This window comes from Homo sapiens, chromosome 20, assembly GCF_000001405.40.
Source record: "Homo sapiens chromosome 20, GRCh38.p14 Primary Assembly".
NCBI classification, from domain to species: Eukaryota; Metazoa; Chordata; class Mammalia; order Primates; family Hominidae; genus Homo; species Homo sapiens.
Genome location: NC_000020.11, coordinates 18,154,302 through 18,180,111, shown reverse-complemented (window position 1 = coordinate 18,180,111; position 25,810 = coordinate 18,154,302). Strand labels below are relative to the sequence as shown.

Below are 25,810 nucleotides of genomic sequence, written 5' to 3'. Positions count from 1 at the left end.
AGATCACCTGAGGTTAGGAGTTCAAGACCAGCCTGGCCAACATGGTGAAACCCTGTCTCTACTAAAAATGCAAAAATTAGCCAGGCATAGTGGCACACACCTGTAATCCCAGCTACTTGGGAGGCTGAGGCAGGAGAATCACTTGAACCTGGGAGGTAGAGGTTGTAGTGAGCCAAGATCGCACCACTGCACTCCAGCCTGGACAACAGAGCAAGACTCTATCTCAAAAAAAAACAAAAAACAAAAGTGACTTGGGTGCTATTAAAAGCATTCCATTTTAAAAGGGAAACAGAACATAAAAGTTCAGAAAAGTTGCAGCCTGACAATGCAGTAGAAAAGAAAAACCTATTTTTTGAGGAGAAAGTCAAGCTGGCTGCAGAAATTTACATAAGTAACAAGGAGCCGAATGTTAATCCCCAAGACAATCTCCACGGCATGCCATAGGTATTCATGGCAGCCCCTCCCATCACAGACCTGGAAGCCTAGAAGGCAGCCTGGGGACTTGCCGCCCTGTGCCCCAGCCGCTCCAGTCATTGCTAAAAGGGGCCAAGGTACAGCTCGGCCCATGGTTTCACAGGGTGCAAGCCCCAAACCTTGGCAGCTTCCACTTTGCATTGAGCCTGAGGGTGCACAGAAGTCCAGAATTGAGGTTTGGGAACCTCCACCTAGATTTCAGAAGATGTATGGAAACACCTGGATGCCCAGGCAAAAGTTTGCTGTCAGGGCAGGGCCCTCATGGATAATCTCTGCTAGGGCAGTGCAGAGGGGAAATGTGGGGTCAGAGCCCCCACACAGAGTCCCTACTGGGGCAGTGCCTAGCTGTGAGAAGAGGGCCACCGTCCTTCAGACCCCAGAATGGCAGATCCACCGATAGCCTGCACTGTGCAACTGGAAAAGTTGGACACTCAATGCCAGCCCATGAAAGCAGCCAGGAGGGGGGCTATACCCTGCAAAGCCACAGGGGTGGAGCTGCCTAAGACTCTGAGAACCTACCTTTTGCATCAGTGTGACCTGGATGTAAGATAAGGAGTCAAAGGAGATCATTTTAGATCATTTAGAATTTGCCCTGCTGGAATTCAAGCTTGCATGGGCCCTGTAACCCCTTTGTTTTGGCCTATTTCTCCCATGTAGAACTGCTGTATTTACCCAATACCTGTACCCTCACTGTATCTAGGAAGTAACTAGCTTGCTTTTGATTTTACAGGCTCACAGATGGAAGGGACTTGCCTTGTCTCAGATGAGACTTGGGACTATGGACTTTCGGGTTAATGCTGAAATGAGTTAAGACTTTGGGGGACTGTTGGGAAGGCATGATTGGTTTTTTAGTGTGAGGGCATGAGATTTGGAGAGGCCAGGGGTGGAATGATATGGTTTGGCTCTGTGTCTCCACTCAAATCTCATCTTGAATTGTATTCCCATAATTCCCACATGGTGTGGGAGAGACCCAGTGGGAGATAATTTGAATCACGGGGGCGGTTTCCACCATACTGTTCTCATGGTAGTGAATAAGTCTCACGAGATCTGATGGTTTTATCAGGGGTTTCCACTTTTGCATCTTTCTCATTTTTCTCTTGCCACCACCATGTAAGAGTGGCTTTTGCCTCCCACCATGATTCTGAGGTCTCCCTAGCCAGGTGGGACTCTAAGTCCAATTAAACCTCTTTTTCTTCCCAATCTCAGGTATGTCTTTATCAGCAGCATGAAAACAAACTAATACAATCTCTTTTCCAGTGAATAAATTTGACAAAAATGGGAGTGATGTAGAATATCACTCCCGTGGATTCCCGTGGAATGCCATGGAGATTGTCTTGGGGATTAACATTCGGCTCCTTGTTACTTATGTAAATTTCTGCAGCCAGCTTGACTTTCTCCTCAAAAAATAGGTTTTTTTTGTCTACTGCATTGTCAGGCTGCAACTTTTCTGAACTTTTATGTTCTGTTTCCCTTTTAAAATGGAATGCTTTCAATAGCACCCAAGTCACTTTTGTTTTTTGTTTTTTTTTTGAGATAGAGTCTTGCTCTGTTATCCAGGCTGGAGTGCAGTGGTGCGATCTTGGCTCACTACAACCTCTGCCTCCCAGGTTCAAGTGATTCTCCTGCCTCAGCCTCCCTAAAATAAATCTCAGTAGCAGAGAGGTCTTATCAGGGGTTCAATGAGGAAGAGGCCTCTGTTCCCTAGGAAGGTATCCTAACAGACTTGGTAGATTTTATGTGTTTCATTTCAAACCCCAAGAGCTGGACTGGAAATATGTTGTTCTTCAATGACTGCCGCTCCAGGGCTCTCAGTCATGTACTAACAGAACATGTACAATTAGGGCTTTATAGCAAAGAAATCAGATGGAAGATTAAAAGGCACATTTATAAAGTTGTTTGCGAAGGGTTGGATGATGTTTAAAAACTTGTTTTTGTAGAATCAGTTTGCTCTTAACCTAGAAAATAACTTTGTTAAAAGGAAAGAGCAAGATTCCTTCCATTATAATTTGCTTTCATACCTTCCCAAACTGGACACCAAAATTTTCAAAGGCCAACTTTGAATTCTTCCAAGGCTTAAAGTCAGTTTCAAGGTAAAACTGAAAAGTGTGGTATGTAATTTCTAAATACAGCCACTAACAATTCCTCCATCCCTACTAAGCGGCTCCTCGTATCAAAAGGCAGGATAAATTTCCCCACCCACTGAAGCTGGGTGGACCTTGTGAATAGCTCTGACCAATCAGAAAGTAGCAGAAATAACTTTCTGGGACTTTTGAGTCTAGGTCTTAAGACAACTGGTGGCTTGCTTCCACTTTCTCCCTCTTGGAGTCCAGCTAGACCAGTTAATAACTAGAGGCCACAGGGAGATGGACTCTGGAGGAAGAGAGGCTCTCCTGGTCATTCCAATCCCAAACTAGCTCTCAGGTTAATGCAGCACATGAGTGAACCCAGCCTTCAGCCCACTAAGTAAAGAACCCAACAGTGCCCAGTCAATCCACAGAATCAGAAAAAAGATACAGGGATCAAAAGCCACTAAGTTTTGGAGTGGTTTATAATGCAGCAACAGATAACTGTAACACCAGGCACTGAACTACTTACTGCACAGAATACTCTCATTATCTGGTTAATGCCTCAAGGTAAGTTCTGGGAAGCTCCATCAAAGTTATACAGCTCCCTAACTTCTTCCCACTCTAGTGTAAACCACTCCCAATGCTGCCTGGATCAACTGCCTCCCATTGGTCTCTCTGCTCCCACTCTTACACCCATACTATCCACTCTCGACACAGAAGCCAGAGTCTTCTAAAAACATAAATTCACTTCCCTTGATCAAAACTCTGACATGGCTTCCTACCATATGTTCAGAATGCAGTTCAAACTCCTTACTTATGACCTGTAGGATCCTGCAGGATCTGGCCCCTGTCACCCCAGTAGCCTCATTAGCCACCAACCCGTTCCCTCTGCCATCACCAGGTTCCAGCCACATACACCAACCCAACTCCTGCTTCAGGGCCTGCGCCTGGGCCTTCCACACTGACCCTTCATCACCCTGGCTCCTCCTTGTGGACTTAGTTCAAGTGCTGCCTCCTCAGAGAGGCCGTCCTGAACCCCCATAGAGCAGTGCTCCTGCCCGCTACTCCTCCCCACGTTCACTCTGCATGATGTAACATCACTGTCCCCGCGTTCACTCTGCATGATGTAATCTTATTTGCCTGGTGAGCTAGTTAATGTCAGCTCCCTGCTCAAGGATGCCCCCTGCCTAAGGACAGGGACCTACTCTGTCTTAGTTCACAGCAGATCCCCTGCTAGAATAGCGCTTGGCACTTTTTTTTTTTTTTTTTTTGAGACGAAGTCTCACTCTGTTGCCCAAGCTGGAATGCAGAGGTGTCATCTCGGCTCACTGCAACCTCCACCTCCCAGATTCAAGCGATTCTCCTGCCTCAGCCTCCTGAGTAGTGGGACTACAGGCACGCGCCAGCATGCCTGGCTAATTTTTGTATTTTTAGTAGAGACGGGGTTTCATTATGTTGGCCAGGCTGGTCTTGAACTCCTGACATCATGATCTGCCCACCTCAGCCTCCCAAAGTGTGGGGATTACAGGGGTGAGCCACCATACCTGGCTTTTTTTTTTTTTTTTTGAGACAGTCTCACTCAGTTGCCCACGCTGGAGTGCAGTGGCATGATCATGGCTCACTACAGCCTTGACCTCCTAGCTCAAGTGATCCTCTCACCTCAGCCTCCTAAGTAGCACATGTCACCACACCTGGCTAATTTTTGTATTTTTTTTGGTAGAGACGAGGTTTCCTCATGTTGCCCAGGCTGGTCTCAAACTCCTGAGCTCAAGTGATCTGCCTGCCTTGGCCTCCCAAAGTGCTGGGATTACAGGTTTGAGCCATGTTTCGGCTCTCGGTGTATGTTATGTACTTGACTTGCATTTGCTGAATGGTAAAGTGTGGGAAAAAAAAGCATCCCAAGGTCAAATAAGTGAGAAAAAATGTTAAATGAGTTTCTTTATACTTCTAATTCTAAACACAATGGAGAGCTAGGAGGGCTGCTTGGTCCCTTTCCAAGCCCATCTGAGAGATGCTACAGACATGAGAGGGAAGGCAAAACACAAGGCTGGGAGAAAGCCCGGGGAGGCGACAGGTGGCTGGGTACGAGTGAGGCAGCAGAGTAGAGAGGGCAGAAAAAGGCTCTGCCCCACAGATGGGTCAGGGGCTGCTTGGTTAAGCCATCTCCTCCCCCGAGCACTTCTCTGGGAGAGGTAGATCGCTGCCAATCAACTTTGCCAGCCACGTATTGGCTGGAAGGTAACGCCAGAGCAGCACTAGAGCCTTCCTGGGTGAGGGTGGATACCACTCTGGGCAGCCCCTGAGCATCCCACAGTCCTAGGAAGCAACACCAGAGGGAGATTAAAAGCAGCACCTGGGCGAGAGGTCCTGGGAGGTTCCCTGAGAGAAGAGGGTGGCTGATTGTGGGAAAAAGAGAGGAGGAGAAATGGTTTTGCCCAGAACCTCCCATTTTGCTAAACTTGCTGACAGGGTCAAAAGCTAGGAACCAGGCTTTTGCTCTCTTCCCTAGGTGTAAACTGCCAGCAAAGGTAGCTGAAAACACTAAGGGGGTATGAGCTCACGGGGAAAAAAAAAATCAAGACCCATAAATAAAAAGTGCAAGAAAATCGCCGGGCGCGGTGGCTCATGCCTGTAATCCCAACACTCTGGGAGGCCGAGGTGGGTGGATCACCTGAGGTCAGGAGTTCGAGACCAGCCTGGCCAACATGATGAAACCCACATCTCTAATAAAAATACAAAAATTAGCTGGGTGTGGTGGCGGGCACCTGTAATCCCAGCTACTTCGGTGGCTGAGGCAGGAGAACTGCTTGAACCCAGGAGGCAGAGGTTGCAGTGAGCCGAGATCGCATCACTATACTCCAGCCTGGGCGACAACAGTAAAAATCCACCTCAAAAAAAAAAATAAAAAAAAAAGCAAGAAAACAAAAGGATAACAAACTAAACAAGCTATTACAGGAAAAGGCACACTTAATTTACCAAACAGACAAGAATTTTAAAGTATAATAGTCATCAAAGAAATGCAAATCAAAACTGCAATGAGATACTACACTTCATACTCAGTAGGATGGCTATAATAAAAAAGACAGACAACAACAATATGGCAAGGATGTGTGGAGAAATCAGAATCTTCATACCCTGCTTGGTGGGAATGTAAAACGGCACAGCCACTTTGGAAGACAGTCTAGCAATCCTTCAAAAAGTTAAACACAGAGTTACATTTGACAAAGCAATTCCACTCCTAGATCTACACTCAGAGAAATAAAAATGTGTGTCCACACAAAAACTTGTATACATATGTTCAAAGCAGTATTTATGTTCATAGTCAAAAGGTAGAAACAACCCAAAAGTCCATCAACTGATGAATGGATAAACCAAATGTGGTCTATCCATACAATGGAATATTAAGCCATATTTAGGAATACTAATATATGTTACAATATGGATGAATCTTGAAAACATTATGCTAAGTGAAAGAAAGTGTTCACCAAAGGCCACATATTATATGACTCCATTTATGTGAAATGTCCAGAGTACATAAATCTACAGAGGCAGAAAGTCAATTCATGGGCAGTAGGAATAGGGAGTTTTGGGTAGTAACAGCTAAAGGGTTCAGGGATTCTTTGTGGGTTAACAAAATGTTCTAAAATTGATTATGGTTCAACTTTGTGAATATATTAGGAACCCGTCAACTGTACACTTTAAATAGGTGAATTGTAAGGTATATGAACTGTATGTTAATAAAGCTGTTAAGGAAGAAAAAGCATAAGAAATAGCCTCCAAGGTAATGGAGGAGCCTGGAAGCAGGAATGAGTAATTATGAAGCATCTCTTATTCATTACCAGATATTAAACACATGATCACTGAAATAAAGCACTCAACAAATGATGTCAGGGACTGGTTAAGGATTTTGTTTAAAAAGCAAAAGAAAAGACAAAAAAAAAAAAAAGAAGTAATGGTGTTAACATCCATATTCAGAGTGCAGAAGAGGAAAAGATAAAGGAGGAACATATTTAAAGAAGCAATAATGGGGAATTTCCTAGATCACAGCAGCATATCCAAGGACTTCTGATTTCCACTCTGGCAGGCAAGAAGCTTAGAAGTCATTCCTCCAGCCTAACAAGTAAACCACTGAACAAAGTGAAAAATCAAGAACTCTTGTAGATCCGTAAAAGACATGAGATAACAAGGCAAACCACTGCCCTCAAATTTGGAGAGAAAGAGAATCACAGCACACGGGAGCAGAGCCTCTGTGGGAACCAGCATCAAGGCGGGAAAGCCCTGAAGAACTGAAAATTGCTGAAGGCTCAATGCGGACAAGTCTAAGGATAAAAACTCCACTCCACAAGGTTCACCTCCAGAAGTTGGACCAGGTTCTCACAGTGAATATCAAAGAAAACTCCCCTCTTGATTCCAGATGGAGGAGGGGAAAAGGAACCATCTTAAAATAAAACACAGCATTGTGTTCTTAGTAACACCTGCCCTCAGGAGAAGTTATTTTTATCAGAGCCTAACCTATTGGGATTTAATCAGAGCCTAACTCACCTGGGGGAAGAGAAATACCTAACTTCACACCCTCTAGCCATCCTGTCCCAGCTGACCGGAGAGAAAACTGAGAAGCACTTTTAGTCCACAGCCCAGAGCACAGGCTCAAAAAAGACTGAGAACTACTCACAGAGCTATAGAGGGCTTTCCCTGCCCACACCTCCCCCATTTCCAACAGCCTACTTATCACAGCTCCTCTTACCCAGAACATCATCTTTGGCTTTCAACAAAAAATTACAAGGTATAAAGGCAAAAAAACACAGCTTGAAGACACAGAACAAACATCAGAACCAGACTGAGATATGGCAAAGATGTTACAGCTACTGGACTGGGAATTTAAAATATAGGCACACCTCAGAGACATTGCAGGATCAGTGCCAGACCACTGCAATAAAGTGAATGTCATAATAAAGCAAGCTGCACAAGTTTTTGGTGTCCCAGTGCATATAAAAATTATGTTTAAGGCTGGGTGTGGTGGCTCATGCCTGTAATACCAGCACATTGGGAGGCTGAAGTGGGAGGACTGCATGAGCCCAGGAAGTCAACTGACAGCTACAGTGAGCCATGATTGTGCCACTACACTCCAGCCTGGGTGACAGCGAGACACTGTCTCAAAAAAAAAAAAAAAGTGGCCAGGCGTAGTGGCTCAAACCTGTAATTCCAGCACTTTGGGAGGCCGAGGCGGGCGGATCACGAGGTCAGGAGTTCAAGACCAGCCTGGCCAATATGGTGAAATCCCATCTCTACTAAAAATACAAAAATTAGCTGGGCGTGGTGGCACGCACCTTTAGTCCCAGCTACTCGGGAGGCTGAGGCAGAAGAATCGCTTGAACCCAGGAGGTGGAGGCTGCAGTAAGCCGAGATCGCACCACTGCACTCCAGCCTGGGTGACAGAGTGAGACTCTGTCTCAAATAAAAAAAAAAAAGTTGACACTATATTGTTGTTGTGTGCAATAACAGCATTATGTCTAAGAAAAAAATGTGTGACTTAATTTTAAACACTTTATTGTTAAAAAATGCCAATGATCATCTGAGCCTTCAGTGAGTCAATCATTTTATTGGTAGAGGCTCTTGCCTCAATATTGATGGTTGCCAACTGATCAGGGTGGTGGTGGCTGCTGAAGGTTGGGATGGCTGGGGCAATTTCTTAAAATAAGACAACACTGAAGCATGCCACATTGACCTGCTCTTCCTTTCACAAAAGATATTGGTTTTTTTGAGACAGAGTCTTGCCCTGTTGCCTAGGCTACAGTGCAGGGGTATGATCTCAGCTAACTGAGACCTCCACCTCCCAGGTTCAAGCGATTCTCCTGCCTCAGCCTCCCAAGTAGCTGGGACTACAGGTGTACACCACCACGCCTGGCTAATTTTTGTATTTTCAGTAAAGACAGGGTTTCACTATGTTGGCCAGGCTGGTCTCAAACTCCTGACCTCACGTGATCCGCCCGCCTCGGCCTCCCAAAGTGCTGGGATTACAGGCGTGAGCCACTGTGCCTGGCCATGTGATGCTGTTTGACAGCATTTCACCCACAACATAACTTCTTTCAAAATCTGAGTCAAACTGTGCCACTAACTTATCAACTAAGTTTATGCAATATTCTAAATCTTTTGTTGTGAGATTTCAACAATGTTCATAGCATCTTTAGCAGGAGTAGATAGCATCTCAAAAAACCACTTTCTTTGCTCATCCATAAGAAGCAACACTTATTCATTCAAGTTTTATCATGACATTTATCGGTCACATCTTCAGGCTCCACTTCTAATTCTAGTTCTCTTGCTCTTTCCACATCCACAGTGACTTCTTCCACTGAAGTCTTGAACCCCTCAAAAGTCATCCATGAGGCTTGGAATCAACTTCTTCCAAACTCCTGTAAATGTTGAAATTTTGATTCCTCCCATGAATCACAAATGTTCTTAATGGCATCTAGAATGATGACTCCTTTTCCAGAAGGTTTTCAATGTCTTTGCCCAGATCTATCAGAGGAATCACTATCTATGATAGCAATAGCCTTAAAAAGAGTCTTAAATGGTAAGACTTGAAAGTCAAAATTACTCCTTGATCCATGGGTTACAGAATAGATGTTGTTTTAGCAGGCATGAAAATAATACTAATCTTAAACCTCTCAATCAGAACTCTTGGGTGACCAGGTACATTGTCAATGAGCAGTAATTGTTTGAAAATAATCTTTTTCAGGCCGGGCACGGTGGCTCATGCCTGTAATCCCAGCACTTTGGGAGGCCGAGGCGGGCGGACCACGAGGTCAGGAGATCGAGGCCCTCCTGGCTAACACGGTGAAATCCCGTCTCTACTAAAAAAAATACAAAAAATAAGCTGGGCATGGTGGCGGACGCCTGTAGTCCCAGCTACTCAGGAGGCTGAGGCAGGAGAATGGCATGAACCTGGGAGGTGGAGCTTGCAGTGAGCCGAGATTGCGCCACTGCACTCCAGCCTGGGCGACAGAGCAAGACTCCGTCTCAAAAAAGAAAATAATCTTTTTCTCTGAGTAGTAGCTTTCAATAGTGGGCTTAGAATATTCAGTAAACCATGCTGTAAACAGATATGCTGTCATCCAAGCTTTGCTGCTATATTTATAGAGCACAGCCAGGGTAGATTCAGGATAATTTATAAGGGCCCTAAGATTTTTGGAAGAGTAAATGATCACTGGCTCCAACTGAAAGTCACCAGTTGCATTAATCCCTAACAAGACAGTTGGCTTGTCCTTTGAAGCTCTGAAGCTAGGCACTGACTTCTCTCTAACTATGAAAGTCCTAGGTGGCATCTTCTTCAAATAGAAGGCTGTTTCATCTACAGTGAACATCTTGCTTAGTGTAGCCACTTCCATCAATGATCTTAGCTAGGTCTTCTAGATAACGTGTTGCTGCTTCTACATTAGCAAATGCTGCTTTAACTTGCACTCTTTTGTGTTATAGAGCTGCCTTCTTTCCTAAACCTCATGAACCAACCTCTGATAGCTTCCAACTTTTCTTCTGTAGCTTCCTCCCTTCTCCAAGCCTTTACAGAATTCAAGAGTTAAGGCCTTACTCTGGATTAGGCTTTGGCTTAAGGGAATACTGTGGCTGGTTTGATCTTCTATCCAGACCACTCAAACTTTCTCCATATCAGCAATAAGGCTACTTCGATTTTTTATCAGTTGTGCACTCACTGGAGTAGCACCTTTAATGACCTTCAAGAACTTTTCCTTTGCATTCACACCTTGGCTAATTGTTTGGCACAAGAGGCCTCGCTTTCAGCCTATCTCTGCTTTTGAAATGCTTTCCTCACTAAACTTAATCATTTCTAGTTTTTTATTTAAAGTGAGAGAAGTATAACTCTTCCTTTTACTTGAACACTTAAAAGCCATTGTAGGGTTAACTGACCTAATTCCAATATTGTTGTCTCAGGGAACAGGGAGCCCCAAGGAGAGGGAGAAACATGGGGAACAGCTGGTTAGTGCAACAGTCAGAAAACACACATTTACCAATTAAGTTCATTGTCTCATATGGGTGTGGTTCATGGTGCTCCAAAACAATTACAATACTAACATCAAAGATCACTGATCACAGACCACCATAAAAGATATAATAATAATGAAAAAGTTGGAAGTAATGCAAAAACTGCCAAAACGTGAGACACAGAGACAGAAAGTAAGCACACACTACTAGAAAAATGGTGCCAACAGACTTGCTCGACATAAGATTGTCACAAACCTTCCATTTGTACAAAATGCAGTATCTGTGAAGTGCAATACAGCAATGTGAATAAAACAAGATATGCCTATAATATGTTTAATATGTTAAGGGCTTAATGGACAAAATACACAATATGCAAGAACAGATGGGCAATTAAAGAGATGAAAACTCTGAAAATGAATCAAAAAGAAATGCTGGAGATAAAAAACACTGTAACCAATATAAAGGTTGCCTTTGATGATGGGCTTATTTGTAGACTGGACACGGCTGAGTAAAGAATCTCTGAACTTGAGGATCTGTCAGTAAAAACTTCCAAAACTGAAAAGCAAAGACAAAAAAGATGAAAAAAAAGAACAAAACAGACTATCCGAGAACTGCGGAAAACTACAAAAGGTGTAATAAACACACAATGGGAATACCAGAAGACAGAAAGGAATAGAAGAAAAATTTGAAGCAATAATGACTGAGAATATCCCCAATTTAATGTCAGACACCAAACCACACATTCAGGAAGGTCAGCGAACACCAAGCAGAATAAATGCCAAGAAGCATATAAAATACCTCTGACCAAAAGAACAGAGTTGTCAAGTAAGACAAATGAGAACAAACACAATTTCTGTGTTTTGGATGTGCTGGAAAATAAAATAATAGAAAAAAGAAAACAAAGCTTTAAAAAGAGAAAATAAAAGACACTTAACATGCACTAATTAAAGATAAAAAACAAAGAGAAAATTCTGAAAGTTTTAGGAGATGGGAGAATAAAACAAGGAGGCCACTTAATTGATAAGAAACAAAAAAAATTTTTTTTTTTTGAGAGAGAGTCTCACCCAATCACCCACGCTGGAGTGCAGTGGCATGATCTCAGCTCACTGTAACCTCTGCCTCTCTGGTTCAAGTGATTCTCAAGCCTCAGCCTCCCAAGCAGCTGGGATTATAGGCATGCGCCACCAGGCCTGGCTAATTTTTTTATTTTTAGTAGAGACGGGGTTTCACCATATTGTCCAGGCTGGTCTCAAATTCCTGGCCTCAAGTGATCTGCCTGCCTCGACCTCCCAAAGTGCTGGGATTACAGGCATGAGCCACTGAGCCCAGTCAAAAATTTCTATTTCTTATCAGTACCGGGGTTCTCAGGAGTGACACTGTATGTAAGATGATAATGAAGTCATAATTTCAAAATATCAATGGAAAAAACTAAAATAACAATTTTATATGACTGCTATCATTTAAATGAAAAAGTGAAATGAAGATATTCTTAGTCGTATAAGTTTTCAAAATTAACCTCAAAAAGCCCATATTTTTAAAGAACTGTTAGAGAAAGCAGTCCAGCAAGAAATTAATCTAGAAAGAAACAATAGGACGAGTGAATAATTTAGTAAAGATTTATGTCATTTAAATAAGCAATACAAAAGAAAAAAAGAGATAAGTGCATGAAAATGTACTTTTTTGTTTGGGGGGACAACCACATGATATTAAAAAAAGAATAAGGAAAAATAAATGTATCTTAAGTTAGGACCTATAAAAAGAATAAAAATAGAATGTATAACTTTCTTTATGGTACAGAATGAACATCACATAAACTATTTTCTCTGATCATAATACAACATTAGAAATCACATCAATTACCAAAACATAGCTTAAAATTCTCATATATCTGAAAACCAAAAAACAACTAAATAACCTTTGGATTAAAGAGGAAATAATGAGAAAAATAACAAAATGCCAAGTACTGATTGGAAATAAAATCACATCATTTCAAAAGTCAAGAATCACAGCTAAAGCAGCACTTATTGAGAAACTTATAGCTACGAATACATTCAAAGAATAAATATAAAACAAGAGTATGGATTGAATAAATGCATTTACAGCCACTCCCTGTGTAAATACATTAAAATTTATACTAAAATTCCAAGTTAAGACTGGGTTAAAACACAAGCATATAAAGCTTTACTACTTCCCAAAATCCCACTAAAACTATAGAAGCTGACTTAATTAGAACAGTAACTGGTAAACAGATGGACAAATAGTAACTGATTTAACACCAAAATCCCAAAGTGGCTTTGGGTAAGCTAAATGAGAACTAACCCAATCTATACTACAGAACCCGCTAAAATCCAGGCAGCAGCCAGCAGATTCCTCTGGAACTGGGACCAAATGGGACAATAAAATAAGGAGCAGGCAAACACCATGTGGAAAGCAGTATGATCCCCAGATCCTTCCACTCCCTGTTGCTGGGTGGCTGCCCTCCCCCAGAAGCCAGGAGGTCTGATCTCTAGAGAACTAACAGGGGATCCAGCTGGAGGGCTGAGGTGTGAGTACCTGACAAGCTGAATGCTAAGGTCCCTCTTCCCCAACTTGGCAACCAGCATCCTGAGCCCAGAAGATTATTCCCCAGGGACTCTGACTAGATTCAAAGAAAAAACCTAAAGGAAGTGCAGTGGTCCTCAACAGAGGTCTCACCTAGACAATGTGGCTGTGTATGGAATTCCAGGTTCAACCTCACTTAATGAGGGTCTTTTCAGTATGTTGGTCTCAAATTTTACTTCCCATGCAGCTTTTCTCAGGAAGTCATTAAGAACAAGGGAATAAACCTATAACAAGGTAAAGATGGGCCACAGGAAACAGGAGATCAAATACAGAGGAGGGCAAAAGAATCTCCAGAGAGGGGAGATCCCAACACCCCTGCTGAGTTTCACAACAAAGGGTGAACAAGTGTGACCCAAGGGGCAGACATAGTGTAGAAAGTAAAAAGTTTCCTCTTCAAAGTTTTCCTTCTTGTTAAAGAATAAATCATAAGTGTTAGAAATAACAGTTTCTTTTAAAGACTAACTTTCTTCAAGTCTCCTTGCCTTGTGCTAATAACTCTTTGTTAAGCCCTATCCTCTGTAACCGTTGGACATGCTCACAGGCACGTTCCAGCCCACAGTCTACGCCCCTTCCTTATTTGGAAATGTTATTGCTTCCTTAAACCTTTTGTAAGCAACTTCTTTGTTCTTCCCTGCACTTACCTATTTAGGAAAGTTTTAGGCTATTAGCAAATCGGGTATCAGTTTAAGATTGTGAGGTCCCGCTCCAGCCAGTGGATGCAGGACACAGCAGTAAGGACGACCCAAGTGCGTAAGGGATAAATATGTCTGCTTTTCCTGTGTTCAAGTGTGCTCTCACCTTTGTTCCATCTGCAACTGAGCACCCTTTCTACAGAAAGAAAAGATGGCCTTGCTGAGATACCTTTTGTCTCTGTGCTGACTTTTCTTCGCAGCACCGATTATCTATTTCTAACAATTTTGGTATTTCTAACACATATTGAGGCTATCATCCTTAAGTCCTTGCTGCCACTGACCATCTTTTAAACCTATGGCGTCGTGGCCCAGAATCTTATCTACGCTCAGCTTGTCTTCACCATGTACAGGTGAGCCTCCTGTACACCACCCATGCCCACCCCAAAGACCAGCTGATGATGCTCACTCCACAAATAACTGCTTTGACCTTCTGCAAGCTGGAAGGAAGCTGTCAGCTCAGGCAGGAAATACAGAGGATCCCACTTCCTCTGCCCAGATTTCTGCCGCATCTCTGGTATACATCACAGCCCTGGCTGATGCATACGCTATGGTGAGCCTCATGTTTCCCAGGACTCCCTAGTGACCTTGGCCAGTGACTACCTCAGAAGGGGTTCATGGAAGCCGAAGCCAGAACATCACTGTAAGTATTAGTTTCCCAGGGCTGTAGGAACAAAGCACCACAAACTGGGTGGCTTAAAACAACAGGAATTTATTGTCTCACAGTTCTAGAGGCCAAATGTCAGAAGTCACAGTGTGGGCAGGGCTATGCTCTCTGGGGTACGCACTAGGGGAGAATTTGTTCTGTGCCCTTCTCTTAGCTCCTGGTGCTGCCGGCAATCCTTGGTGGTCTTGGCTAATTATATTTGCAAAGGGCCTATTTCCAGATAAGGCTGCATTCATAGGTACCAGGGTTGGGACTTCAACATATGCTTAAGGGGGACACAATTCAGTCCACAACAATGACCCAGAATGACTATTTAGCTTATCTTCTCCAGGAAACTTCATCTAATAGTGGCAATTTACTTACACAGCTAGATTTATGCTTGCTACTCAGTATTTTTTTAAACGAAAAGTATATCATTTAGAGACATACACATTTAAAAAGCAAAAGAATAATTAACACTGTAAGTCAAAGTGGCTTCCTCTGAGGGGAACAGAAAGTACACAGGAGACTTCTAAGGTGTTTACAACACTCTTTATCCAGGAGATGAATACATGGGCATTTATTTTACTAATATCTAAATTATACCATATTTCTATGCTGCCTTCTATCTGTATGACACATCTTACAATTTAAAAAATTAAGTATAGGCAGTAAACAGACAGGCCCACAAGAATAAGAACAAAGAACAGGTGAATATTGGCCAGGCGCAATGGCTCATGCCTGTAATCCCAGCACTTTGGGAGGCTGAGGCGATCACTCGAGCCCAGGAGTTTGAGATCAGTCTGGGCAAGATAGTAGGACCCTGTCTCTACTAAAAATAAAAATTAAAAAAAAAATTAGCTGAGTGTGGTAGTGTGTGCCTATAGTACCAGCTACTTGGGAAGCTGAGGTGGGAGAATTGCTTGAGCCTGAGAGTTCGGGGCTGCAATGAGCTGTGGTTGTGCCACTACATTCCAACCTGCGTGACAGAGAGAGACCATGTCTCAAAAAAAAAAAAAAAAAGAACAAGAACAAGTGAATAGATGACTAACAAAAGCATATGAACAAGCAGCAAATGACTTAACAGACCAAAGAAAGCCAATACCTAAGCCAGTGGTGAAGCTAAGCAGGGTGATTTACAAAACACAGCCTCAGGGAAGTGTAGTCACCTAAGGCATCAGGCTTAGAGCCTGGGGGGTATGACTATGGATTGTGAGGCTCTTTAAGAGGTTAAAGGCTCCAATTATACCCCTATAGTAATTATACTGCCCACATCTAGGAAATGATCTTTCCCTCCACGGGCAGAAGACTGGAGAGGCTCAAGAGGGAGATTCTGGACACAGGAAGCCAAGGGTGGGAGTACTGTACTGAAGACAGGGAGAGTCAGTTTACCTCCTAAACGATGGGCTCCTGGGCCCTCCCGACTTGGCTCCTGGTAGGCAGGCCAGTTAATACTGTGCTTCCCAGGAAAGATGGGAATTAGGAAAAAAAAGAAAAGAGGATCTATCTGGAGTAGGGATCTTGGTAAACTATAGCCCCCAGGCTAAATCCAGTCCACTGCCCATTTTAGTAGATAAAGTTTTACTGGAACACAGCCACACTCATTCACTACGGCTCTCCAATCACAACAGCAGAGTTGAAGAGTTCCGAATGAGATTTTGTGGCCGGCAAAGCCTAAAATAATTACTATCTGGCAGAAATACTTATTTCTTTACAGATAAAGTTTGCCAACTTTTAATCTACAGGGTCCAATATCCAAATAATGGGGAGTTCTAAAATGAGAGAACAGAAAAAATAGAAGATAGGAAATCAAGACTTTTCCATACTCAGGAAAGAAAGTTTCAAATTGAAAGGGCCCACACACCACATGTCCAGCACAAGGAAAGACATAAGCCCTACATACGGCACATCACTGAATAATACCAGAACACCAGCAATGAAGAGCAGATCCCACTAGCTTCCAGAGAAGAGAGAAAAACATGCAGACTCCAAACAGGCAATTCACAAAGAAACAACCAGGAAATTTAACCTCACCTGTAACCAAAGAAATATAAATAAAAAACAAGATTTCACTTTACAGCCAGCCAATTAGCAAAACTTAAAGGCTGGTTAGTGTCAAGTGCTAGCAAAGATAAAGGGAATAAGGCCTCTTGTTCCTCCCAGTGGGAGAGTATATACAGGTAGTTCTAAGTGGAATTAATTGTTCCCAGAAGCATCCACAAAATTTGGGTTCCACCGACCATCCTTTGAGCAACACTGATACCACACTGATCCCTTGGCTGCTATTTCTTCATGTTGTCCTTCGCAGATGTCTACACACCTTCAGATCCTCTGCAACACAGTGTCAGAGACACCGTCATGGCCTCAACAAATTTGTCAAAGCTACGACACAAACCATGCATATCTATCCTCAGAGAGAGAGAGACAAGAGAGACAGATGAAGAAAACTTATAGGTTATGTTTGAATGCCTAAAGGAAAAGAAAAACTCAGATGTATTCAGGTGTACTTACAATGAACAATTCTGAAAAATAAAGCCCAGCGATTTTTGTATTTTTTTCCCTTGCACTTTACTTTTCTCTTCCCAAATTACTCAGGATTTAAAAGGTCACAGCATAACCATGTCCAATGCCTAGTGCTGCCTGCCCCACCTCCACTCCTGCCCCCAAGGGCTTTACAGCAAGTGCTTGCATTCACCTGGTATCGGTCAAGGATTCTGAAGTCCTGACAGGTGGTTCTGTACGTGGCTTGTCCAGCTGGAAGTCTGGAAATTCCTCCTTCTTTGGCTCCATAAATCCCGTCAACTAACAAAAGAGCAGCATTAACAACTTGATCCAAGTCAAAAAGTGGTAATCCCCTATCCCTTTTCGCTTGTCTGACAATCAGTTTGCGTTTCAGTCTCCGAGCTTCCGGAGTCATGGCAACAGCACCGGGACAAGCTTCCAGCCTCTTGAGCAGCAGCTTTTCCTCGTAGATGCTCACGGGAGTATACCTGGGCTCTTTCGGCTTTGTGTCCTTCTCCAGCTGAGGCTTCCTCTTTTCTCTAGCCCTTGTTTGCAAAGATGTGTTTGAATCTGTGTCTTCACTGTCAATATCCATCCTGTCGGGTTTTTCCTCCTCACTCTCTACCTCCTGCTTTATCTGTTCAGGGCCTCTGACCTTCTTTCTGACCCCAACCACTGGCCCAGAAGCTACTGACCCAGCAGGGGGTGGGACGTACTCCATCCCTGGGTCTATGACTCCATCGCCTTCCATCTCATCGTCATCTGTGCAGAGTACAAAACAGTGTCATCAAGACATAGGAAGGAAGAAATGCAGAGCACACAGCCCACGGGGTGAAAACTTGTACATTTATACCATGGCCCATACCCAAAATAAAAGAGCAAAGCAAACAAACTCTTACCATGAAACAAGGCTTGTGGGGGCATCACATCTGGAATCAGATCTGCTTCTGAAAGCAAGCTAGGTGTGGCAGAATGAGAGGCAGGTGTACCAGGGGCAGAGAAATCCAGAGAAGGAGAAGGAGATGGGCTTGTCAGCGGGGTGCGGTCAGAGGAGCTCAAGGAGGAAAAGTCAATCACTTCGCCTTTTTCCAGAATCACATCTGGCCTGCGGCCTCGGCTTATGAATTTTACAGGGGTAGAAGATGTGCTCCTGTCAAGAAAGCCAGCGGCCTCCTTCTGGGCTCTTCTAATGTCTTTTGCTTCCTGAGTTCGAGACCTTTTCTCTTTTAATTCCATGGCAGATTCCACAGGATTCCGACTTGCTCGTTTTCTAAGTCCCTCAACAGTAATGATGGGATCTAAAGTTGGTTTTGAGGCTGCTAAGAAAGAATAAATACAGGCTGAGTATCCCTCATCTGAAATGCTTGGGCACAAGCATGTTTTGGATTTCAGATGTTTTCGGCTTTTGGAATATTTGCATTTTACTTATTGGCTGAGTATCCCAAACCCAGAAATACAAAATCCGAAATGCTGCAAATGAGCATTTCCTTTGAGCGTTATGTCAGTGCTGAAAAAGTTTCAGATTTTGGAGTGTTTTTGATTTTGGATTTTCAGATTTGGATTGCTCAACCCATATCTAAATTTTAAAATAACTACTCAACTTTAGTTTCTTTTGCTAATTTATTATTATGAGTAATATCATGTTCAATAAAGAGAAATGTTCAATGAATGCCCTAAACTAAAAAAGACTTAGATATCTCTTGAGAAAAAAGAAGTTATACTGCAAATTTAAACAAATAAATACTATCTTTCACCTACTGGAACTGGCAAACATTAAAAGTTTAGCCAGGCGTGGTGGTGCACGCCTCTTAATCCCAGAACTTTGGGAGGCTGAGGTGGGTGGATTTTGAGCCTGGGAGGTGGTGGCTGCAGTGAGCCAAAAAAAAAGTTTGATAAAGCTCAGTAAATGTATGGGGAAATGGGCATTTTCATGGGCATTTCAATGGGTACTTTTTTTTTTTTTTGAGACAGGGTCTTGCTCTGTCACCCAGGCTGGAATGTTAGTGGTGTGATCTCGGCTCACTGCAACCTCCGCCTCCCGGGTTCAAGCAATTCTCCTGCCTCAGCCTCCAGAGAAGCTGGGATTACAGGCATGCGCCATCACGCCCGGCTGATTTTTGTATTTTTGTACAGATGGGGTTTCATCATGTTGGCCAGGCTGGTCTCGAACTCCTGACCTCAGATGATCCACCTGTCTCGGCCTCCCAAAGTACTGGGATTACAGGCATGAGCCACCATGCCCGGCCTTATTACAGTTTCTTGGAGGATAATTTGGCAATCCTGATTAAAATTTTGAATGAATATGCCCTTTGATGTAGAAACTCCAGGAATTTATCACATTTTCACATGTACACAAATTTGTAGAATTGTAGCACTGTTTAAAGTAACAAAAGGTCAGGCATGATGGCTCATGCCTGTAATCCCAGCACTTTTGGAAGGAGAGGCTGGAGGATCACTTGAGCCCAACAGTTCAAGACCAGCCCAGGAAACATGGCGAGACCCTATCTCTATTACTTTTTAAAAATGTTTTAATTAAAAAATAAATAAATAAAATAGCAACAAAAAGGTAGAAACAACCAAAATGTCCATCAACAGGAGAATGGTTTAACAAATTATCACATAATTATATAATGGATGTAATGAAATAAAATAGGGTAAATCTACATGTACTGTCATGGAAAGATGTCCAAGACATACTGGTAAGTGTGGCAAAAATGGAAAACTCATAATAGTACGAGTCCATTTTACTTTTTTAAAAAACTAAGAAAATGCTTAAATCTGCAGAGATCTTTCTGAAAGTATTCACAAAAGACAACAGTGGTTACTCTGGGAAGTGAAATTGCAGGCCATAGGCAGGTGGGGGAACTTTCATACTTTACACCCTTAAGTACTATTTGATTTTCTTCCCAATCATATTTTTAAAATTTTAAAAGCTCATCAGCCTGATCCGGTGGCTCACCCTGTAATCCCAGCACTTTGTGAGGCCAAGGCAGGTGGATCGCCTGAGGTCAGGAGTTCGAGATCAGCCTGGCCAACATGGCAAAACCCCGTCTGTAATAAAAATACAAAAATATTAGCTGGGCATGGTGGCATGTTATTTGGGAGGCTGAGGCACGAGAATCATTTGAACCTAGGAGGCAGAGGTTGCAGTGAGCAAAGATTGCACCACTGCACTCCAGCCTGGGCAACAAAGCGAGACTGTACCTCAAATAAATAAACAAACAAGCAAACAAATAAATATAAAAATTTAAAAGCTCATTAAAAGCTTTTTAGATTATAAAACCAGATCAATATGTGATAGTAAGAAGTCACTGTTAACATCTTTTTAAATATGAAAATGGCATTATGGTCAGGCTGCAAAAAGGAAAGAATCCTGATCTCTTAGAGATACATACTAAGATATTTAGGAATGAAATGTTGATTCCTGGGATTTGTTTCTAAATAATCCAATTGTAAGAATGGGGAAGGTTGGGGAAAAGTACTGAGGATTTAGATAAAATGAGACTGTCAGGAGTTAATGTCAAAGTGAGGTGGAAGGTACATGGGAATTCATCATGTTATTTATTACGGGAATTTTAAAATATCTCTTCACCTTTGTGAGAAGTTTAAAAACAAAAACCAGATGGAAAACATTGAACCTTTCAGATACCCTGGGAAATTTATAAAACTGATAGCTTGATTAGGAAGTGATAAAATGTTTTTATGTGGCATTTATTTCTAGCACACACACAAGTGTCATCACAGAAGTGTTAAACAGAGTAGCTCCAGAGAGGCCTGCGAGCCATGCCCAGTGGAAGCAGGAGCGTCTCCTGGGCTCACACCTGCTTGGCTCTGGTCTGACTAGCAACTTTTGTACTGTTCTCACAACAGTACCTTTTATTTTCAAAGTAGAGGCAGACAACTTCTCTCCTTCAGGTTTCATCGTTGGGGGCTTGTTATGAACAAGTTTCCACCATCCTGGCTCTCCAAATTCCTGAGCACCTGAACGGAAGTACATGGGACTTCCCACGCTGAGGCAACCTGCCACGGTGCTCCACCAGGTAGACGTCTTTTTCCTAAAGAGTCCAAGAATTTAAAAATGATTGGCACTTTTGCTCATTATACAGAAAAGACAGTCTGTGTATACTGTGACTCCTGGCCTGCAACATGCAATGGCACCTCCAGCTACTGAAGGAGCAGAGCACGAGAGGCAGGAGAGAGGCTCTGGAGTTCGCCTGCTTCAAACCCTGGCGCTACCAACTTCTAGCAGCCTCGGTTTGTTCATCTGTAAAATCAGGATAATAGAACTTACCTCACAGGGTTGCTGTGAGGATTAAATGCAATAATTCAAACAAAGCACGTGAAATACTTCTCATCACAATCATCACGATTATGGAATTCTACAGGCTAATTTTAATTAAGTTGCTTTGTTATGTGAATTAAGCACAGCTCCCAAGAATAAAGCATACAAAAAGTGTAACTCCAAGGCTGGGCATTTTGTGATAGAAGTTAACTGGCTCCAGTAAATACCTCATTTTACCCGAGGAGTAGCACACATCTCTCAATCTGATCCTATCTGCCTCGATGCACTAGAGTGGTAACAAAACTATGTGGTATACTCCACAAACACAGAGAGCACCTACTGCACAACAAAATAACAAAACATGCAAAATGCCAACTATCCGGGTTCCCTAACGGAAATTCTTTCAAGGCGACTGTTCTATTTCCACCTTGAAAAGATACATCAATCCCCGGAAATCCTAGAAGACAGTCTTTCACAAGAAGACCAGTCTAACAGTTGGAAGGTATTGCTGGGAAGGCAAAGGAAAACCATTCTGAGGAACAGAGACGTAATATTAATAGAAAACTCAGAAAATAAACAAAACAAATAAGCTCAGCTATAGTAGGCATAAGCACTATCTGAGGCTGGGTGCGGTGGCTCACGCCTGTAATTCCAGCACTTTGGGAGGCCGAGGCGGGTGGATCACCTGAGGTCAGGAGTTCGAGACCAGTTTGGCTGACAGGGTGAAACCCCGTCTCTACTAAAAATACAAAATTAGCTGGGTGTGGTGGCACATGCCTGTAATCCCAGCTACTCGGGAGGGTGAGGCAGGAGAATCTTTGAACCCGAGAGGCGGAGGCTGCAGTGAGCCAAGACTGCACCATTGCACTCCAGCCCGGGCAACAAGAATGAAACTGGGTCTCAAAAAAAGCACTATCTGAGATGGAGAGAATGAAACCCCCAAGCTTTTGGTTCCAAAGTACCTCTCCTACATTCTTATCTTTTTCTAATCTTTCCAAATCCTCTCTAATAAATACAAAATGTAGCATAAACACATACAATAGAATATTATTCAGTCTTAAAAATAAAGGAAATCCTATCACATACTGCAATGTGGATAACCCTTGAGGACACTTATGCTAAGTGAAATAAGCCAGTCCCAAAAAGACAAATACTGTATGGTTCTACATATATGAAGTATTTAGAGTAGTCAAATTCATAGACACAGAAAGTAGAATGGTGACTGCCTAGAGCTGTGGGGAGGGGAGAATGGAGAGTTATTTAATAGGGATAGAGTTTCAGATCTGCAAGCTGAGAAGAGTTCTGGCCATCTGTGAATCTATATTCAAATACGTGAACATACTTAACACCACTGAACTGTACACTTGGAACTGGTTAAGATGGTAAATTTTCACTGTTTTTACTGCAATAAACAAACAGAAGTCTGGGCAACATAGTGAGACCTCATTTTTACAAAAAAATAAAAATAAAAAAATTAGCTGGGTGTGATGGCACGTGCCTGTGGTCCCAGCTACTTGGGAGGTTGAGGTGGGAGGATCACTTGTGCCTGGGAGGTAGTGGCTGCAGTGAGCCATTACTGTGCCATTGCACTCCAGCCTGGGTGACAGGGTGAAACCCTATCTCAAACAAACAAAAACAATAAAAAAGACTGACAAAGACTCAAAAGATTTTAAAAACCAATGTGTTATTTACTGTGTCGAAAACGGGTGCGTACTTGTACATTGACAGTGGGACTATAAATGGGCATATACTTTCTGGAGGTTACTTTCATAATGTACAGCAAAATTGTGTGTATCCTCTGACCTCGCAAATCTACTTCTAATCACAAAAACACAAAGGATATATATACAAGAATATGCCCCACAAGGCTAACTTAAACACAGAAAAACTGGAAATAACATAAATGTTTATAAAATTATCGGCCAGTGTTACAGATTTCATCGTATCCTCCCAAAAGATGTTGGAAGTCCCAGTACTTGTGAATGTGACCTTATGTGCAAACAGTGATCATGAGGTCATTAAGTTGAACACTAATCCAATATGACTGGTGTCCTTACACAAAGGGGAAACTTGGACACAGAGACAGACGTGTAGAGAGGGAAGATGCATGAAGACACAGGGAGAACGTCATCTACAAGCCAAGGAAGGCCTGTGGCTAACAGAAGCTAGGGGAGAGGCATAAAATACTCTCTCCCTCACAGCCTTCAAAAGGAACCAATCCTATCAACACCTGGATTTCAGATTTCCAGCCTCTAGAACTAGAATACATTTCTGTTGTTTAAGCCATCCAGTTTGTGTTACAGCATCATTAGCAAACTAATATAGCCAGCTAAATCACAGCACAACACATAATGAGACATTTGTATGGAATGGAATAAATTTGTTGCCAGGACATATACAAACACAGTATTTATGAATGGCCTCAATAGTTTTCCCCCAAAATTATTATTGTGGTAAAATATACATAACATTTACTATCTGAACAATTTTTAACAGTATAGTTCAGTGGTATTAAGTACATTTATATGGTACAATCACCACCACCATCCACTTTCAGAACACTTTTCACAGGGCAAAACCGAAACTCTATATCCGTTAAACAACTCCCAATTCCACCCTCCCCGCCAAGTGCTGACAACCACCATTCTACGTTCTGTATCTGTGATTTTCACTACCCTAAGTATCTCAGATAAGTGGAATCACACAGTGTTTGTTTTCTTGTGATTGGTTTGTTTCACACAGCATAATGTCCTCAAGGTTCATCTACACTGCAGCATGTGCCAGAATGTCCTTCCTTTTTAAGACTGAATGATATCCACTGTATGTATATGCCACATTTTGCTTATCCATTCATCTACTGATGGACACTTTGGTTGCTTCCACATCTCAGTTATTGTGAATAATGCTGCTAAAAACATGGATATACAAGTATCTCTGAGACCCTGCTTTCAGTCCTTTTGAGTATATACCCAGAAGTGAAATTGCCAGATCATATGATCATTATATTTTTAACTATTTGAGGAAACACCACACCATTTTCCACAACGATTGTACAATTTTACATTCCCACCAACACTGCAAAAGGGTTCCCATTTCTCCACATTCTCGCCCACAGTTGTTGTTTTGTTTCTTTGATAATTGTCATCCTAAGAGGCATGAGGTGGTATCGTGTTATAGATTTGATTTGCATTTCCCTAATGATTAGTGATGCTGAGCATCTTTTGATGTGCTTATTGGCCATTTTAATATCTTTGAAGAAGTGTCTATTAAATGCCTTTACCCATTTTTGCAATGAGGGGAGCTATAACAACAATGGCTGCCATCTCTTTTCACCTCTATGATTAGAAGCAGCAATCAGTGATCAGAGCACAAATACCCAGTATTTGGAAAACAGGCTTATTTTTGCCCACCCTGGATGCTACAAGCTGTGTGTAAGCCACTCCAGGAACACACACACAGCTTTCTTCCTAGTGGCTGGAGAAGGGGGATGGGTAGCACCAAAAAAACCCCCACCTTTTTACATTTAAACTTTAATAACATATTAAAGGCATAAAAGAAAAACCTGTAAACATCTGAAAGAAAATTCAGAACTTCATTACACTGTATAGCATTCTCTTAGATCTTGTGACAAATGAGAAATGGTTACAATTTTTAAGAATTTAAAGTATGTCCTGGCCAGGTGCAGTGGTTCACGCCTATAATCTCAGCATTTTGGGAGGCCAGGCGGGTGGATCACCTGAGGTCAGGAGTTCAAGACCAGCCTGACCAATAAGGTGAAACCCTGTCCCTACGAAAAATACAAAAATTAGTCGTGCATGGTGGGGTGTGCTAACCTAAATAATTTTATGTACCATTGTAGAAACAAGTTAAAAAGTATATGAAAACTTAGTTATTACTGAATAATTGCCTAGTATTTGTTCATTTAATCTGCTTTTACAGTCCTGGCCTTGAATTCTTCCAGAAGGTATAGTTTTGATTAGTGAAGAATAGCTTGAATATTTTCTTCTACTACCATATTTTACTGATTTTAAGATACGTAATTTTGCAAATTTTGACATCTCTGACAGCTAGATACATCTTATAGTTACTGATATGTCATAATTTAATTGGTAGTTAGCTCTTATTTGTACACAAAATGGTGTATCTTAAAGTTAATGGATCTTAGAATTGATGAAATATGATAGTACACATTCATAGTATCTACACTTCAATCAACTTTACGAGGATTCTGGGAAGGTGGCAGATAGGAAGCATTTGCCTTCCTGCCTGGACAGCAGTTGCACTGGCAGAATCTGACTGATGGAACTATTTTGGGACTCTGGAGTCTAATAAAGGCTTGTGGTTTCCAAGGGAAGGCATAGACAGTAGACTGCGGTTAATACTGGTCAATTTTAGTTCTTAATGCAGTAGCAGCTACTCCGGAGGCTGAGACCGGAGAATTGCTTGAACCTGGGAGGCGGAGGTTGCAGTGAGCCGAGATCACGCCGCTGCACTCCAGCCTGGACGACAGAGCAGGACTCCGTCTCAAAAAAATAAGTAAGTAAGTAAATAAATA

At 42.3% G+C, this 25,810-nt stretch overlaps 1 protein-coding gene across 16 annotated transcripts in view; it reads right to left on the bottom strand.

Moving 5' to 3' along the window:
• KAT14 (lysine acetyltransferase 14) overlaps nucleotides 1-25,810 on the bottom strand; it is a 50,883-nt gene that overhangs the window by 7,924 nt on the left and 17,149 nt on the right. For 9 of the 16 annotated variants that reach the window (NR_028402.4, NM_001392072.1, NM_001392071.1 and 6 more), the window contains 3 exons: nucleotides 20,847-21,028; nucleotides 17,873-18,292; nucleotides 17,167-17,735 (listed from right to left, as the gene is read on the bottom strand). Coding sequence is in view for 15 of the 16 variants with exons in the window: in NM_001392072.1 (NP_001379001.1) it covers nucleotides 17,167-17,735; nucleotides 17,873-18,292; nucleotides 20,847-21,028 (1,171 nt within the window). In the remaining variant the exon portion in view is untranslated. The remainder of the gene's footprint in view (nucleotides 1-17,166; nucleotides 17,736-17,872; nucleotides 18,293-20,846; nucleotides 21,029-25,810) is intronic. The other 7 variants (NM_001392075.1, NM_001392078.1, NM_001392077.1 and 4 more) reach the window with 1 other exon arrangement.